Consider the following 19,707-nt stretch of genomic DNA (forward strand, 5'->3'; position numbering starts at 1 on the left):
TGCCAGCTTGTCTCTCAGGAGCAAGTAAGTGAACAGAGGGAGTTTTGGACAAGAATGTTTGGGACAGCTCGGGGTAGGAAGTGGAATAAGCCTAGATAGCTGGAAATGAATGATATACCATGATATGATATGCTGTGATACTTCAACACTTTAAAAATATGGTACATTTTGAGTTTTTTGAAATCTTAAGTTTTAATAAATAACTAGAAATGAGGTATAAGAACACTTATAAATGGAAGAAGCAATACATGAAGACATGATATCTATGTCTTTGGAGAACTTTGAAAAGGGCTGACTACATTCAATAGTAAAGAGTCGTGAGGGAGAAAATGAAAGGATGAGAATAATACTTGGCTTAAATGAATGAGAAATGAGAAGCCTCCAATTAGAGCTTGTTTGTGGGAAGGTGCTCAGTATTATGATAGATGCGTATTCTTTTATGATTAACATAAGAACTTTCCCAGTCAAAAACATGCCGAGAATTATATACTATGTCTTAAATCGTCTCTTGCTTGCCAATACTCTTTAAGATGAATTCTCAACATTTAAAGAGACCTTTCACTTCCTCCAATCTCCAGCTACATGTCAACTCCATCTCCACCACACTGACACCATGATGACTGACGTTGGTTTTGATTTGACATTTTAGCCGTTGAAATACACAGACACACTCACTCACACTCACACACACAGAGCCTTCAACTTGAAATTTGATTGGCATCAGTCATTTCATAACCTGTCTCTTGGGGATCGGACCAATGGACCTTTTTAAAGCTTGCCTTATTGAACTGACCCTTCTGATCTTGACGCATGATTTATACTTGCTAATCTTCTTGGGAGCCTTCCTCACTCTTAACAAGCCTGTCATTTCTTTCTCTTGAAAATATTTTTCTTAAGGTGCAAGATGATTTAAAATGTTATTTTTATTCCTGTTCATGACTTTTGTGAGGAAAAAAAATCATATGAATGTATCAAAGAAGTAGCTATTCAATCTGATTAGTGAATTTTCCCAAAGGAATATAGACATCACCATATTTGTAGATTGTATCCTAAAGGGACATGAGGATCCGATTCAACTCAACAAATATGATACCATTAAAAAAATATATTTGGAAAGGTCTTCAGAGTTTAGTACAACTTTCCAACCAATAAAAGAATCCCTATGTCTTCTCTCAGAGAGTTAGCTTCTATGTGAATACTTTTTGTTAATATAAGTTCATTTGAAAGCCAACCTTATTCAGAGTACTTCTACCTCTTGAAATTTCTTCCTTCGTTAATTCAACTTCCTTTAATTCATCTCCCTAAGTGCTAGGTATTTTTTTTTTCAGCTGGAACCACAGAAAGTAAGTCCCATCTCTCCTCTACATGATAACTCAGGGCTGGCCTAAGCTGGATGTCCACAGTTTCAAAGATGTATGTTTTTCTCTTCCTCAACCCAGAAAAATTTTCTTCCTGCCCTCATTCTTTTTTTAATTATATATTTGAATTTAATTCTTTCTAATTGAATTTTCTTTTTTTTATTATTATACTTTAAGTTCTAGGGTCCATGTGAACAACGTGTAGGATTGTTACATAGGTATACATGTGCCATGTTGGTTTGCTGCACGCATTAACTCGTCATTTACATTAGGCGTTTCTCCTAATGCTATCCGTCCCCCGCCCCCACCCCACGACAGGCCCCCGGGGTGTGACGATCCCCACCCTGTGTCCAAGTGTTCTCATTGTTCAATTCCACCTATGAGTGAGAACCCGCCCTCATTCTTTACCACCTCTTACATTCTCCATGGAGACCCAAAGATCCACCCTGTGAGAGGCTCTGTGACCATACTTATAGGTTGTTTTAGTACCCCCAAATATGGTTCATCTCTTGCTGTCTTCTCATCTTTATTACACTCCAACATCCTCTTAATCACAGTGTGGTCTTCTTTAAATTCAGTTGGAAGATTTCTTTAAGTGGAAGCAAAATATTCCCTGAATAGAAAAGATAATTATCATTTATTGAGAAAATGTCTCAGACACTGTACTAAATTCAAGGATGATAAAGATACAAAGATGGGAGAAATACAATATCATATCCACAAAAAATGTATACTATACTGGGGGAACAGAAACACCCTTAACATATAAGTAAATATAGGGCAAAATGATGTGATGTATGCTATTTTTTCAAATGACTCAAGCTATACACAATCATTTAGGAAGACAATGTGATTTCTCTTCAATGGTGGGGAGGGAGGGAGGGAGGGGGAAAATATCCTCTGCCACGTGGAGTCAAATAGGGAACATAAAAAGCCACAACATGCAGTTATCAATTACCTTTTACATAATAGTTATACCATATATACAATTTTGATATGCTAATGGCCTCCCCTTCTATGATTCTAAACATCTACTGCCCCAGGGTGTAATTTATCCCATAAAACTCTCTTAGGATATTTCTTGCATGCAATACACCCCAAATCAAAACCTATCAAAGTGCCCTAATTTCTTAGGGGGTAAAATACAATAATATACATTTTCAAACTATCTTCATTCTTAACTGACTTTATTTCCCTACTTATGACTCTCAATATAGTACACTGAAGAAGGTTTCAATTTCAAGGGCTTCCAGTTTTGTCATCTATCCTTTTAATCCCTGTGTGCTAAAATTTCCAAATTATTGCATCTCCCACCTCACCCACTTCTTAGGGAAGTTGCCTCCTCCTGAGAACCTGGAAAGGGCAGCTCATAACTCTAGCCCCGGGGATGAATATCCAGATCATGCTGGCAATGAAATTGTATCTTGTCAGAATTTAGACAAAAGTCAGTTGGAAGGTAGTTAGCTCTTACATTGGGAAATTGCGTTGTTAAGAAAGAGTAACCAACAAGGTAAATGGAAGGGAAGCACAGAAGGAAGTTAAGGGGAGTAGGCAGGCCATTAGTGTTGTAAGCCAGGTGAAACAAGTAACAGAACGGTTTAGGGATGCAAAGGGCCTAATAGAAGCAGAGACCACGTGGCTCCACCAGTAGTTGAGCGAACAGGTTCTACTCACATCTTGCCTATTCCAATCCTTTCATCGATGCCTAAGCAAGACTTAATTTTATGAACTTTGCTAGCTGCAACAATGCCTATTAGGGCCTTTCATTAAAGTTCTTTTCTATTTGAGCCAGTTTTAGTGGGTTTCTGTTCCTTGTAGCAAAGTCTTCCTTGACTAAGAAACACCTGTAGGTTCTCATCACATTTCTCTTTGAGTCCAGCTTGTTTTTAACCACACTATACCAGCACAGCTTTGAAAACTTTGTACAAGACAAAAATTATGGGTAAGATTATACAAATAGTAATATTTTAGTTTTAAATTTTTTATTCACTGCTTAAGGTTAAGTAAACAGGGAAGGAGAGTTGCATGTTATTTCTTTTGCATAACAAGGAAATGGAAGTGCTTAAATCTAGAGATTGATGAAAAAAGAAAAAAATGAAGTTGAGAGATTTGTAAATGTTATCCCTCAAAGAAATAAAATAAGTAGGATGTTATTTGAATGTTGACATATGGGGTAAGATAAAGTCAGATGAGTCCTGAGCTACATAAAGAAGTCTTGTTGTGCCCTGCACCTAGCTGAAGTGATAAATAATCCAAGTAGGCAAAAAAAAAGTCTTAAACCAGTGGATTTTCTTTTCTTGTTGGCTATGCTGTTTACTTGCTGCAAGTATCCCATTGGATTGCCAAGTAGACAGTCATCATGAGCCAAAAGAGAAGGCACAAGGGAAACAAATAGGAGGAAAAAGGATTGTTTTTCACCAGAAGATATAAGCTTATTAGGGTTCCCTCATAAATTCTTCCATACTTTTATCTTTCCAAGCAAGAAGTCAGTATACTCACAAACACACATGAGGGAGAAAATTCATTCTAGTAAAAAGTAGAAAGCAATAAGTAAAAGTCAGACTCCAGGGTTGTACTCTCATTCCTCATCTGTAAAAAAAGAAAAAGAAAAGAAAAGAAAAAGAAAAAAGAAAATGAGAAAAATACCTGCATGGCCTCTATCCATAGCTTGAAACCCACAGGTTAAATTAGACTCAAACATGAATGTGAAAGAATTCTCTAAAATTAAAATACACTTTAAGAATGTAAGATACTGTTAAATGTTAAACATGTGTGTGTATTTGTATAATATATGTATATATATGTATTTTATATATATGTATTTTATATATATATGTATACACATATATCGCAAACCAGGAAACAATAGGGAATAAAATATTGTAATATGCTTCTGTTATCCTCTCCCTTTCCCACTTCCTTTAAAAGTTTGAGAAGTAGTTATTAAAACTTCAGATGAATTCAAAGTTTGCTCATCCATAATGTCTTCATTGTCTCTTGGCTCTTTGAATGTCAATGAGTATATACCTCAAAATTACTCCTGTCAATTATGAAGGTCCTTATCTTAGCATTGATTTTTACATGCTCAAATCAATAGCAGGATATGGCCCAATAATTAATATTGGGAAACTAAATTGCTTTTTTCCCAGGTATTTAGCTTTAGCCACAGAAATATTCCTCTTTTACTAACACTATGTCTTTATATTTATCTCCTTTCCTTTATGTTCTTAAGCCAAATGCTCCCAAATAACAATACTAAATATTTTTACCTCGTCAAATGGTACTTACTGCATTTTTGTAAACAAGGCTGATGCCTGAATACTTACGAACAAAGTATTGTGTATAAAAATATTTTCAATTCTTTAGCTCAGACTGTTAAATTCTTTAGTTTTCCCTATTCATTCTCTAATTAACACAAAAATGATATTGCTCAAAGAATTTTTTTTCAATAAATATTACTATATGCCCACCATTGTTTGATGTGCTAGGGAAACAAAAATGAACAAGACATTGTTCTTTCCTTTAATAACTTCATAACCTCTTATGTTGGAAAGAGACAGGCATAATGAACACATTGTGATCTATACAATGAAAGATGTAAGTGCAGCATGCAGTGCAGGTAGCTAGGGGTGCAGCTGGCTCGTACTGACTTGAGAGAGCTAACTGCATTTCTCTTTCCAACCATGTTCAGTGACAATGGGATCTTGAAATTGGCTATGGTGACAATATTTACACCACAAGAACAGGCAAATGCTACAAATCAGCACTTGTATTTCCTCTGGAGAAAACCAGTTGTTAAACATTTAACCACAAACTGTCCTTACCCCTTCCCGGGGTATTAAGGAAGCATAGGGGCTGAACAGGGAGACTGACCTTAAAATCCCTTTTTAAGCATGGGTACCATGGTGTGATTGAACAAAGTCTTTTATAAATTATAGTTTTGTTTATCTGTAGCAATTTAACAATTGTGGGACAAGGTCAATTGTTTGGAAGAACAGAACTGTGTTAACTTTAATTCTTTGAACAGATGACCACGCTGGCCAAGAGGCAGTGTTAACTGACCATTAAAGTGTACGAATAAATATAGTAAGTACATATTCAACAGATAAGTTTTATCATTGAGTTAATTTCCATTACAGCATTGTCAAAAAATGACAATAATATTTTCTAGTGCTTTTAAGGCTTTACGTTATCATGAAAGTTTGAAACGTGTAGAGAATTACTGCAAAACAAACTTCAGTGATATTATTTTGTCTTTGAAGAGGCAGAGTCAGGTAGTTAAATAACAGACTGATTGTTCAAATTCAAATGAACTCCCATTAGGATAGAAAATCAAATACAGGTCAATAGATGATAAACCTCTGAGTTTGCTGTAGGTCAAAAGTCATGAGTTTCATGTGCACCCTAAGAGTAAGCCAGAATAAAAACTTCACCATGGTGATCCAATTTCCTCTCCCTAGGGAGCCACATCCAGTGATCTTATCCATGCCACCAAGTTTTTATTATTTTTTGTATTATTACAAAATATATAGTTGGTTCAGAAAATCTGAAAAAGATAGTTCAGAAGAAATAAACAAAATAGGAGTATAAACCTGTCATCCACACATTTTCTATAACATTATAATGTACTTTCACTCATGCCTATATTTATTTCTATGCCTATGTGTGATTATGTTCCTGTAGATATAGACAACACAGTGGAGTTAAATTTGAAACAGCATTTGTATATTCTACATATCTTTCTATATTATTATACATTATAAGTTAAACAAGTTTTTATGACTCATAAATTTTTAAGTGTATCAGTCACTTGAAATTCTTTTTTTTTGGTACCTCTTTCTGTTTTTAAAAATTTTTTAATTTTTATTTCCATAGGCTTTTGGGGAACAGATGGTGTTTGGTTACATGAATAAGTTATTTAGTGGTGATTTCTGAGATTTTGGTGCACCCATCACCCGAGCAGTGTACACTGTACCCAATTTTTACTCTTTTATCCCTTACCCCACTCCCACCCATTCCCCCGAGTCCCCAAAGTCCATTGTATCATTCTTATGCCTTTGCATCTTCATAGCTTAGCTCTCACTTATGAGTGAGAGCATACGATGTTTGGTTTTCCATTCCTGAGTTACTTCACTTAGAGTAATGGTCGCCAGTTCTATCCAGGTGGCTGTAAATGCCAATATTTCATTCCTTCTTATGAGTAGTATTCCATGGCATATATATATGTGTATATACATATACATACACATACATATATGTATACACATATATACATACATATATACATATTGTGTATAAATACATGTATACATACATATATACAATTGTGATATATATACATATGTATATACATATAAATACTTGTATACACATATATGTATATACGTATGTATATATGTGTGTGTGTACATATATATATATCACAATTTCTTTATTTCTTTACTCGTTGATTGATGGGCATTTGGGCTGGTTCCATATTTTTGCAATTGCGAATTGTGCTGCTATAAACATGGGTGTGTAAATATGTTTTTCGCGTAATGACTTCTTTTCCTCTGGGTAGACGCCCAGTAGAGTCACGTGAAATTCTTTGTGAATTTTCTGTTCATGTCCTTTGTTCAATTTGTTTTGAGAGGGATAAGACCTTCTTATGTAGTAGGTGTGTGAATTATTTTGTTTATATGTTACAAATATTTCCTTAATGTGACATCCTCATAAATTTTAGAGTCACTCCTGCTACAGTGTTATTTTCCTTCAGACACTTCCCTATTGTAAAACAAATTCATTTGTTCTCTACTACTTAAAAAAAACACCTCCTCAACTGATGAATTTTATTAATAATAATGACAACAGTGATGATTATTATGTTAACTTGTATTTCTACAATGCATAGAGTTTATAGTACATTTATAAAGTACCAGTGAGCACTTAGCAGAGTTACGTTCCCCATGTAAGTTGACATATATTATAGGAGTATCATAAACTAAATACATTTTATTATACTTAAAAATAATTTAAAGTTATCTCTCAAAGTTAATGTCTATTATAGATGAGGCAATTGAGACACACAAAAGCTACATGACTTGCTCAAATCCACAGAAAGTTATTGAAAATAATCTCTACTAACTCCAAACTCATAATAGTGTTATTATTTTTACCCTACCACAAGATGGTCCATCAACTGGACCCAGTCTATATTTCTGGCATTATTTCTAGTTTCTCCCAATGAACATGTCTGATTTCTCATCAGCGTGGCTAACACTTTAACACTGTTTTTGTTTCCAGCAACCTGAACTTGCTCAGGCTGCAACTGCTCCTCTAGCCGTGGCCTCTCACAACCTCTCCACATGCCTGTACTATTCATTTTTACAGATGATCTCAAGTTCAACTGTTTCCATCAGATCTTCCCTTATTTCTCAGATCTGAAATAACCTAGGACTTATTTTTATTCATTTTACATAGAGTTAGGTGAGAAAATTGAAGCACATTACATATCACAGGGCTATTTTAGGCTCTGTATATGGATTGGTATAAACTTTACAGAAACACATTTTAGCTTATTTATGTTTCTCTCAACAACAAGCACAGTATTGTACATACCCCAGACACCTTGTAAATGCTCTTTGAGCAAAGATTGCCTATGCTCACTGTTACTAGATTATTATTTAGCCTCTCTATCACCTGCATAAACAGTATATTCATTATGTGAACCAGTCAATGATTGTAATACGCCAAAGATAATAAACAATAGTTTAAAATCCTTTAGTTTGTTAACTACCATTATCTTATTACCAAAGAATAGATTTAGCTATGTTTAATATTGGGATAATTTAGTTACATGATTAGCATAAATTTTGTCCATCTCTGCCCTTGCTAGAACTACCCTATGAAAGTTGATCACTGTAAGCAATTGTTTGCTCACATTTGTTTTTGTGAGTCATGGGCAAAGTATTTCCCTTAGCTGATGATAACACATCATAACTGCCCCAGATATGTTGTTCAAAAGAAGTTATATCAGTTTAAGTTTCCACAGAGGATACACTAATCATATAAATAAATTATACATAGGTACAGGAAATTGCATTATAGCAAATTGGACAAATCGAGTTTAAGAGAAGAAAACATAATTGTGTAACTTTAGAAAGAAATAAATATTGACCAAAATGAACATTTTTACAAGTAATGTTATCTCTGATCAGCAACAAACATGCTTCTGGATCAATATTTGTAGTTTGATTCATTTCCTGCCATATAGAGCTTGATCGGCTCGTCAATATATCCAAAGGTTAAAAGAAAAAAAAAGAGGGTTGTTTTTAAAATAAGCTTTTCTAAAAGTTTTCTTTTTTCTTCCTTTAATAAGTTTCCTAAATATCTACAGAATAGTGAGTGCAGTGGGAGGTGGAATCTGCTGAAAGAAAGGAATTTTCTTAAGACACGGTTAGGGACAGGAAGAGTGGCATTCTTCTCTGGGTGAGCAAGACAACAAAATATGGACTTTCTTCAAATGTCAAACCAGCTGAAAGATGGGTAGACTATCAGCAGAGAAAGAAGGCCAATTAGAAACAGTCTGTTACTGAGTAGAAGGTGAAGAAATTTTAAGTATCTTGGATTTGCACATTGCTTTCTATTTTTCAAGGTGCTCTCTTGCCCATTCAATTCAAAACTCATTTGGTATTCTGTATCAGCAATGTGATAGATGCAACTGGGGTGGAACCTGAGAGATGGCACAAAAATGTCAATGTATGTTTCTGTCTGCAAAAACCTCATAACCTAACTAAGAAAACAGACATGTATGTATCTTATGATGTTATAGGCATGGTTGCCAAAGCACTAGGAAGAATGCAAAAGCAAAACGCAGTAGGGAAACAGAACAGAGAGACAGTCATTCTGAATGGTGAGTTCTATAAAGCCTTCCTGGAGAGCAAAACATTTCTGAGATTTTGGACAAGAAAGGCTTCCAAGATTTTGAATCTTAGTGAAGGATATTTTGGACTAAGAGAATAACATGGGACTAAGACTGAAAAATATATGATCTCATTATAAAATTGTGAGGAGTCTGGTGAATGACTTATCCAGAGAGTATAAGGAAAAAGATAGATGGGAAGTGGCAATGAAGGATGGGCTTGTGTTTTTGAAATCTTTAAATACACTGCATTGATGGTAAGACCTTATTTTTTATGAAATGAAAAGCCAGAGAAAAAATAACCAGTGTAGAATCATCAACATCATCACAGCCCCATGAAGTATATAGATTTATTTTTGTCTACAAATGTTAAAAGTACAGTATAGGGATGTAACAGGCCCAAGGACAGCAAAAGAATAAAAATTATATAGAAACTTCCGGGCATCTGGCTTAGTACATCTTCCAAAGGACTATAATTCCCAGTGATTTTTCCAGAATCCAGAATTTCAGTGTTGAGAAAGAATTTGATGATGAAAAGCAAACCTAATTAAGAATGAATGACTTTTAGAAGTTGCCTTCAAGCATTCAACCAGGTATCCATTAAGATCCTATCATATCCATCTGTGAACCAAGACCCAAGATTAAAATTGCTTTGTTAGCAGAGATGCCTTGATCGATACAATATTTCTTTAAGAATGGGGCTCAGGGCCGACTCACTGGGATTCAAGGGAGAGGCTGATCACTATCACCATTGACATGTATGTGGTGACCTGTGGATCCCACAAGCAAAGGAATTTCTTCTCAGAACCAGGGGCAAGAATAGAAACTCACTTACAAGTCAAGCTGTAAAAAAACGTATTGATTCCTCTAAGGATACAAAACTTAACACCAGCAGATAATACAATAAAGAAAATAGAATTATATAGGAATTTAAAAAAATAGTCCCAACATATGAAGCTCATGTGGGGTGATCTCTGAGCATAGTTAGCAAACCCTAGCATCAGAGACAGTTCAGCATGTGAGCAGAGGGTAGAAGACAGACAAAGCCCTGGCAGAGAATCCCACAACATCTGTCCTCATTAAATTGAGTATAAACATAAACCTGACTTAAGCAGCTGAAAATCTGCTTGCTGGACACGATTTTTTGAGATAATCTGTCTCTAATTGTAAGACTACTGAAAGTATCAAACCTGTTGGAGCCCAATAGTTTAGATGTGAGATAAAAAAAAAAAAACAACTTTTTTTTTGAGAGTGTCTCACTCTGCCATCCAGCCTGGAGTGCAGTGGTGCAGTCATGGCTCACTTGACCTCCTGGGCTCAGGTGATTCCCCTACCTCAGCCTCCTATGTAGCTGGGACTACAGGTGCATGCCACCAAAGCTGGCTAATTTTTTTCATATTTTTTGTAGAGACAGAGTTTCATCTTTTGGCCCAGGCTGGTCTGGAACTCCTGAGCTCAAGCAATTCACCTGACTTGGCCTCCCAAAGTGCTGTGATTACAGGCACAAGCTACTGTATGCACCCTGCAGAGCATTTCAACAGAGAGACCTCCTTCTTTACTTGAGTCTTCTTTGGACATTTGAAAATGTTCATTTTTGAAATGAATGTCTTTGTATTGAGATGTGTTGGCTTTTTTATTGTAAAAGTAGTTATACTTTATAAAAAATTTGCAAGACACCCAAAAAAGTAAGGATGGAATTTAGAAAATAACCTATGATTTGATCACCTAGAGATAATTATGGTAAATACTTTGAGATGTTTTCTTCCATTCTTTAAACTTTACAAATGTCTACAATTTCTAGCAGATTTGGAACCTTGCTGTTGTGCCTTCGTTTTGTTCATTTAACAGTGTGATGTGCATTTTCCTCTATCATTAAATAATCTTCAAAAAAATGTGAAAATAAAAATATAGTTATAGAAATTTTGGGCAAACAAACAAATGAGGTTGAGCCTGCTTTAGTGCAGCATGACTGCTCTACCCAGGATGTCATTTCACCCTTAAGTTAGTCTGGTAAACTCCTGTCTCACCTCTAATACTCAGCTAACCCTTCAGTTCTGAGAGACTAGCTGACAGACTTCCTGAGAGCTTCTCTCACCTCACTTGGCCAAGCAGAGCCAGTCATCTATCCTTTGTGCTACATCTGTACCTTGCACATTCCTTAATTAGAGTGTTCCCTTCATGAGTTAGGCACTGTGTTATGAGCTTTCCTAACATCTGCTATCTCATTTCTCTCTCATCCCAATCTTAGTGTTGTGTTGTATTCGCTTCCAAATTTTATAGATGAAGATAGTGAAAATCATATGTCTAACCTGACAAAGTCCCACGCCTCTTAACTGGCAGAGCCGTTATCCAAACTCCTGTCTAACTGTTGCTAAGGCTCTATCATTCATAGCTGCTATACAATCATGTGCATATGAAACTGCATTACTTACCTAAAAATTTAGAATTTCTGTTTTTTAAAGGCTATCATATACTCTGGTTATCTGCTGCTGCATTACAAAAGAACCCTGAAATGTAGTGAGTTAAAAAGACATTTTATTGTAGTTCGTGATTTTGTGGGTCAGGCATGCAAGAAGGGCTCAGCTGGATAATTCTTCGATTTCACATTAATTGGATGAATTTATTTGGTCATACTCAGCATATAGGCTGGCCAAGAGAACTTCTCTAAATTGTCTGGTGCCTGAATAGAGATTGCTGGTAGACTGGGCTCAGCTGGTACTGTTAACCAGAGCACTTGCATGTGACTTCTCCAGCACTGTTGTTTCAGAGTAGTCAGACATAAAGGCCCAGGGCTCCCAGAGAGATTGCTCCAAGAGACAGAAAGTAGAAGCTGCCAGTTGAGTGTATCTTTCACCAAGAAACTTGCACAATGTCACTTCTATGCTATTCTATTGGTAAAAAGAGTCCCAGATCCAAGGAGAGGGGATATACACTATACTTATTATGAGGATTGTCAAAGAATGGGCAACCATCTTTAATCTGCCACATCACAGAAGCAGTTGATAGATTTGGAGAAAATATTAATCACGTCTAAAACTAATAAGAAACTAATATCTCTAGAAGAGCACTGTCCAAAGCAACTTTGTATGGTAATGGAAATATTCTGCACTATCCAATATGGTAGCCATGTAGTAAACACGTGGCTATTGAGAATTTGAAGTGTAGCTAATGTTAGTAAGGCACTGAATTTTAATCTTATTCAACTTTTAGTTAATTTAAATTTAAATAGTCACAAATGGCTAGTTGCTACTACAATGGATAGTATAGCTGTATATATGAATGATATTCCTGCAAATCAACAATAAAAAGACAGGAAAGTTAAATAAAAGTGGCCAAAAAATGTACAGATAATTTACAGAAGTTAGTTCTAACTGATTATCAAATATATGAACGGATATTCAAGCTCAATAATAATCAAATAAATATAAATCATAATGATGAGATACTGTACACTTACCTGCATAAAAAAACTAGAATGTTTGATAATACCAAGAGTTACTGGGACTATAGAGAAAGAAGTACCCTCTTGCACTGTGAATGCAGAGAGACGTTAAGTTAAGTAAACTTATAGTCTATGATTCAGCATAATGTCTATGGCACCTATAAGGATATTCATTGTAGCATAGAAAAGGAGACAACTTAGGTTTTCATAGCTAGAGGTAGAAAAAAGTAAAATGTGGTTAAGGCATATTATGGAATATTACAGTGCCATTAGAAGCAATGACAACAAAAGGACATATAAGCAAAAGAGATGAATCTTTTAACACCATGTTGAGCTTAAAAACTGAGAAACATTATCAATTCCATAGCACAACATTTTTGAAAAGTAAAATTGCATATGCAAATCAACAATGTATATTCTACAAAGATGCAAATTTAAGAATATTTAATAAATGCTTTTTCATGGTTGCCTAGGCAAGGGAATAATATGAAAATGAGGACAGTTGGAAGGCAGGAGGGAAGGAGGGAAGGAAGAGGAAGAAAAGAAATTTGTGACGATGAATTATGACAGTTAATAATACACTAAATACTGTGTTTATTGCAGTCTTCTGAATTTGAGGTCCCTAAAATTTATGTTTGTATTCCAGTGCTTACACAATACTGTATGTTCATACTTTACACAGAGTTAGTGCTTGACGAGTGACTTCTGGTGGGTGGGTGGATGGATGGATGGATGGATGGATGGATGGATGGCTGATGAATAGATTAGTGAATGATAAATACTATTTGGAAGCCCAGATGAAGAGGATTAGAAGAAATTAGGTTAAAACTATTGGCAAAAGAAGGTTCATAAACAGCTATTATTACTTTATTCTTTTTCTTTCATTTTACCTTGAGAGATTGTATTCGTTTCCATGGCTGCTGTCACAAATTACCACAAAAAAAAATGCACTGGGTTACAGAAATAAATTTGGGGGACCTCAAGTTCAGGTGACTGCAATAATCATAGTCTTTAGACTACCACTAACTGTCAAAATTCATTGGTACAAATTTATTTCCTTCCCCTTCCCTCCCTACTTTCTTTCCTCCTTCCCCTTCTTCCTTTATCCCACCCTCCTTTTCTTCATCTTTCCCTCCTTCTCTCCCTCCCTTCCTTCCTTCCCTCCTTCCTTTCTTCCTGCACACATTCTACTCTCTCCCCTAATAGGTATGAAGATCCCTACTATCCCAACATCCAGTACTTTCCAGAAGCTCCGTTCCCATTACTTAGGCAAAATTGGAGGAAGAAAATGGTTCAGGTGAGTTTCAGAGTCTGAGGAGGCATCTGCTTAACAGATGAGGAAATTCTGAGCTAAATGATCAAATACATTAGCCTTATATGGCATAGCAGCAAGGAGAACTCATAGACCTCTGTGGTGGACTGCATAATGGCCCAAAAAATATTAGGTCCTACTCCCTGGGGTTCATAAATATTACTGTATATGGTAGAGTCTTCCCTTATGTGATTAAATTATCCTGTGGTAAAGAAAATTATCCTGGACTATTCACATGGGACATAATGGCAATCACATGTATACTTATAAGAATAGGCAGAAAGAGATGTGACACACACCCAGAGAAGAAAGCAGTGTGAAGACTGAGTAGGAAGAGATTTGAAAATGCTGGCCTAGAAGATTGAAGTGATGGGGCCATAAGCCAAGGAAGGCCAGCAGCCACAAGAAACTGGAAGAAGCAAGGAACAGATTCTCTCTAAAGCCACTGGAAGGAGCATGGTCTTGCCAACACCTTTATTTCTGTCCAGTGATACTTACTTTAGGCTTTGGCTTCCAGAATTGTAAGAAAACAAATTTACTGTTTCTAAGAAAACAAATTGTGACTGGCAGACATAGGAAATTAATACAATCTCCCAAGATAAAACGAAGGAGACCTTGAGAAATTAATGGATTTTCTGAAGTTCAAATGCACCTACCCCAGACTGGTCTAAGACGTGAGCTTATTAATCGGGGTGGCATTTCCTGGTGAGAAGGAGTAGTAAAGAGATATTACCCAGTGATCATATTAGACATTTCAGAGGTACAGTGGTATAGAATACAGAACATTTTCATATATTTTCACCCTTCTCACTCTAAACAAAGAGAGACTGAGTCCCCTCTCTCACTCATCCAGGATTCTTCTTACTCAGTTCTTAACTCTAGTCTAAAAAATAACTCTTTCCCTAAGCCACTAGCACAATAATTACATTGCTTTCTAATAAGTCTGCATTCCCTGCAAACTCTTTATCCCTTAGAGGAGTTCAAAAGTATGACATTAAAGCACAAAACAATTATACTATAGACATACCTCATTTTACTGTGCTTTACTTTATTATACTTCACAGATACTGCGTTTTTTTTTTTAAAAAAAAATTGAAGGTTTATGGCAACCCTGTGTAAAGCACCTCTACTAGAGTTATTTTTGTCAACAGCATGTGCTCACTTTATGTCTCTGTGTCACATTTTGGCAAACTTTATTATTATTATTATATCTGTTATGGTGATCTGTGATCAGTAATCTTTGATGTTACCACGAACTGTGCCCATTCAAGAAAATAAACATAATCAATCAATAAGTGTGTGTGTATTCTGACTGTTCGACCAACCAGCCATTCCCCCATCTCACTCCCTCTCCCCTGAGACACAGCAATATTGAAAATAGGCCAATTAATAACCCTACAATGTCTTCTAAGTATTCAAGTGAAAGAAAGAGTTGCAAGTCTCTCACTTAAAATCAGAAGCTAGAAATGATTAAGCTTAGTGAAGAAGGCATGTCAAACCAATATAGGTTGAAAGTTACACCTTTCACACCAAGTAGTTAGCCAAGTTCTGAATGAAAAAGAAAAATTATTGAAAGATATTAAAAGTGCTATGCCAGTGAACACACAAATGATAAGAAAGAGAAACAACCGACATGGAGAATGTATTAGTGGTCTGGATAGAAGATCAAACCAGCCAGAATATTTCCAAAAACTGAAGCCTAATCCAGAGCAAGGCCTTAACTCTCTTCAATTCTATGAAGGCCGTGAGAGGTGAGAAAGCTGCAGAAAAAAAGTGTCTGAAACTAGCGGAGGTTGGTTCATGAGGTTTAAGGAAAGAAGCCATCTCCATAACATAAAAGTGCAAGATGAAGCAGTAAGTGCTGATGTAGAAGCTGCAACAAGTTATCCAGAAGATCTAGCTAAATTAATGAAGGTGGCTACACCAAACAACATATTTTCAGTGTAGACAAAACAGCATTCTGTGGGAAGAAGACTCTGTCTAGGATTTTCACGGTTATAAAGAAAAAGTTGACCGGGCATGGTGGCTCACGCCTGTAATCCCAGCACTTTGGGAGGTCGAGGCAGGTGGATCATGAGGTCAGGAGTTCAAGACCAGCCTGGCCAAGATGGTGAAACCCCTTCTCTACTAAAAATACAAAAAAAAAAAAAAAAAAAAAAGAGCCAGGCTTGGTGGCAGGCACCTGTAATCACAGCTACTCGGGAAGCTGAGACAGAGAATTGCTTAAACCCAGGAGGCGGAGGTTGCAGTGAGCCAAGATCGCACCATTGTACTCCAGCCTGGACGATGGAGTGAGAGAAAAAAAAAGAAAGAAAAGAAAAGAAGTCAATGGCTGGCTCCAAAGTTTCAAAGAACAGGCTAACTCTAGTAGTAGGGGCTAATGTAGCTGGTAACCTAAGTTGAAGTTGGTGCTTTTTTACCATTGCAAAAATCCTAGGGCCCTTAAGAATTATGCTAAATCTACCCAGCTCGTGCCCTGTAAATGGAACAAAGCCTGAATGACAGCTGCTCAGTTTATGCCATGGTTTACTGAATATTTCAAGCCTACTGTTGAAATCTACTGCTTAAAATAAAAGATTCCTTTCAAAGTATTACTTTTCAGTCACAGGGCACCTTGCCATTCAAGAACTCTGATGGATATGTACAAGGGGATTAATGTTGTTTTCATGCCTGTTAACGTGTTTATTCTATACCCCAAAGATCAAGAAGACTTTCAAGTCTTATTATTTAAGAAATATATTTTATAAGACTATAGTTGTCATGGATAATCTTTCTTCTGATGGATATAGGCAAAGCAAATGGAAAACCTTCTGGAAAAAATTCAGCATTCTAGATGCCATTAAGAACCTCCATGAATTATGAGAGAAGGTCAAAATGTTATTAACAGGAGTTTGGAAGAAGTTGCTTCCAACCCTCATGGATGACGTTGAGGGTTCAAGACTTCAACAAAGGAAGCAACTACAGATGTGAGGGAAATAGCAAGAGAACTAGAATTAAAAGTGGATCTTGAAGATGTGACTGAATTGCTAAAATCTCTTGGTAAATCTTGAGCAGAGAAGATTACTTCTTATGAATGAGCAAAAAAAAAGTAGTTTCTTGAGATAAAATCTACTCTTGGTGAAGATGCTATGAACATTGTGGAAATGACAGCAAAGAATTTAGAATATGACTTGAATTTAATTGGTAAACAAGCAATAGGGAGATAATTATTAGCATTTTTTAGCAATTAAGTATTTTTAATTGAGGTATGTACATTGTTTCTTTAGGTGTAATGCTATTGCCCACTTTGTAGACTTCAGTATAGTGTAAACGTAACTTTTTTTTTTTTGATGTAGTTTTGCTTTTGATGCCCAGGTTGGAGTGAAATGGCGTGACCTCGGCTCACTGCAAACTCCACCTCCCAAGTTCAAGCGATTCTCCTGCCTCAGCATCCCGAGTAGCTGGGATTACAGGCATGTGCCACCACACCTGGCTAATTTTTTTTTTTTTATTTTTAGTAGAGGTAGGGTTTCAACATGTTAGTCAGGCTGATTTTGAACTCCTAACCTCCAGTGATCCACCTACCTCAGCCTCCCAAAGTGCTGGGGTTACAGGTGTGAGCCACCGCAACTGGCCAAACATAACTTTTATATGCACTGAAAAACCAAAAGTTGTGTGACTCATATTATTATGATGATCTAGAACCAAACGTGCAATATCTCCAAGATATGCCTCCAAGATATCTCACATACAGTTACAGGAGAGATGCTCTCTTCTAAACTCTGCTTTTCTCTCTAGTCCATCCTTCTCAACCTTGACTGCACATCAGAATCACCCAGAGTATTTTACAGTTTACTGATGTGTGAGTCCCACCCTCAGAGATTCTAATTTAATTGGGATGAGCACAGCCGGAGCACAGGGAGTGTTTTTTTAAATATATATATAATATGAGCTTTTGGGTATATTACTTTATTGGTACACGTCTTAGAACTCTATGGTCCACCAATTACACTTATATATCCAAGGAAGACCAATGCATATGACCATCAGAAACATGATGTACAATAATATTTACAGCAGTTTCATTAACAATAACTAAAAACTAGAAACAACCTAAATGTCCACCAACAGGAGAATAGATGAACAAATGGGATAATGTATAGACAGCAGCAACAACAATAAAATCCCTACTGATATGGACCCACATGGAAAAATCTCACAACCATTATGTTGAACAAAAGAAGCTTCACATAAAGATATGCATACTTTGTCATTCTATTTATATGAAGTTCAAGAACAGGCAAAACTAATCTTGTAGGTCATCTGACATCCTTCCCAGATCAGATGGTACCTAACCTCTCAAGAGATAGCCATTATTCTTTTTTTTTTTTTTTCTGAGACGGTGTCTCACTCTGCCACCCAGGCTAAAGCGGTCCTCCCACCCCAGCCTCCCAAGTACCTGGGACTACAGATACGTGCCACCACGCTCAGCTAATTTCTTATTTTTTTGTATTTTTGATAGAGACAAGGTGCTGCCATGTTGCCCAGGCAGGTTTCAAACTCCTGAGCTCAAGTGATCTGCCTGCCTTGGCCTCCAGAATTGTTGGGATTACAGGCGTTAGCCACCACACCTGGCCCTGACTTTTATTAGAAGCATAGGGAGTTTTTTTTTTTTTTTTTTTTTTTTCCAGATGGAGTCTTGCTCTGTAGCCCAGGCTGGAGTGCAGTGGCGTGATCTCGGCTCACTGCAAGCTCCGCCTCCTGGGTTCACGCCATTCTCCTGCCTCAGCCTCCTGAGTAGTTGGGACTACAGGCGCCCGCCACCGCGCCCAGGTAATTTTTTGTATTTTTAGTAGAGACGGGGTTTCACTGTGTTAGCCAGGATGGTCTGGATCTGCTGACCTCGTGATCCACCCGCCTCGGCCTCCCAAAGTGCTGGAATTACAGGCGTGAGCCACCACGCCTGGCCTAAGCACAGGGAGTTATAAACATTCCCTAGGTGATTCTCGCTTGGAGCCAAGATTGCGGATCACTATTCTAGTTTCTTTTTTCCTTCTAAACTGGTCTTGAAGAGATTTGCTCTCAATTCAGTACACTTAAAAGTGGAAACAATTCACCACGTTTTTTTTTTCCAAAAATGTTCATGATTTCAACCTAACTTTCATTTGCGAGTTGAACAGCTTTGAAGCCCATTAAAAGATGCACAAACTCTCAGTAGATACAGAAAGGGGTCATCTTGGAGCCTTCCGGTCATGCCATAACTGAGAGTAAGCCCAGCTTCACAGACAGCTGCTTTACCTGAACACACGTCAATGATGCTGAAGACCCAAAACCACACTGTCTGATCCAGCTAAGGTTATTTACTCAATAGGAAACTCACCTCCCTTTCCCTCCCTAGCCTATTGTGGCCAAAGCCGTGCAGCCTGAAATTTTCAAAAGGAAAACAGCTTGCTACCTGGTTTGCAGCACCTATGACTTAACTACATTTATAAGGGTTGTGGAACTTAACATCTACATTTTCCCTCCTATGTTCTGATTTCCTGTTTCTCCACACTATTTATGTTCACCTATTACCCAATTAGCACCCCAGTAAGCTGAACTCCCATAGTTGTTTCACCCTAGCAATTAACCCTCTCCAGCACCCCGCTCTGAAAAGAGCTCCTGATTAAAATAAACTGCTCAATTATTCTCCTAACAGGAAGCGTGCCACAGTAGA

Source organism: Homo sapiens, chromosome 18 (assembly GCF_000001405.40).
Source record: "Homo sapiens chromosome 18, GRCh38.p14 Primary Assembly".
NCBI lineage: Eukaryota > Metazoa > Chordata > Mammalia > Primates > Hominidae > Homo > Homo sapiens.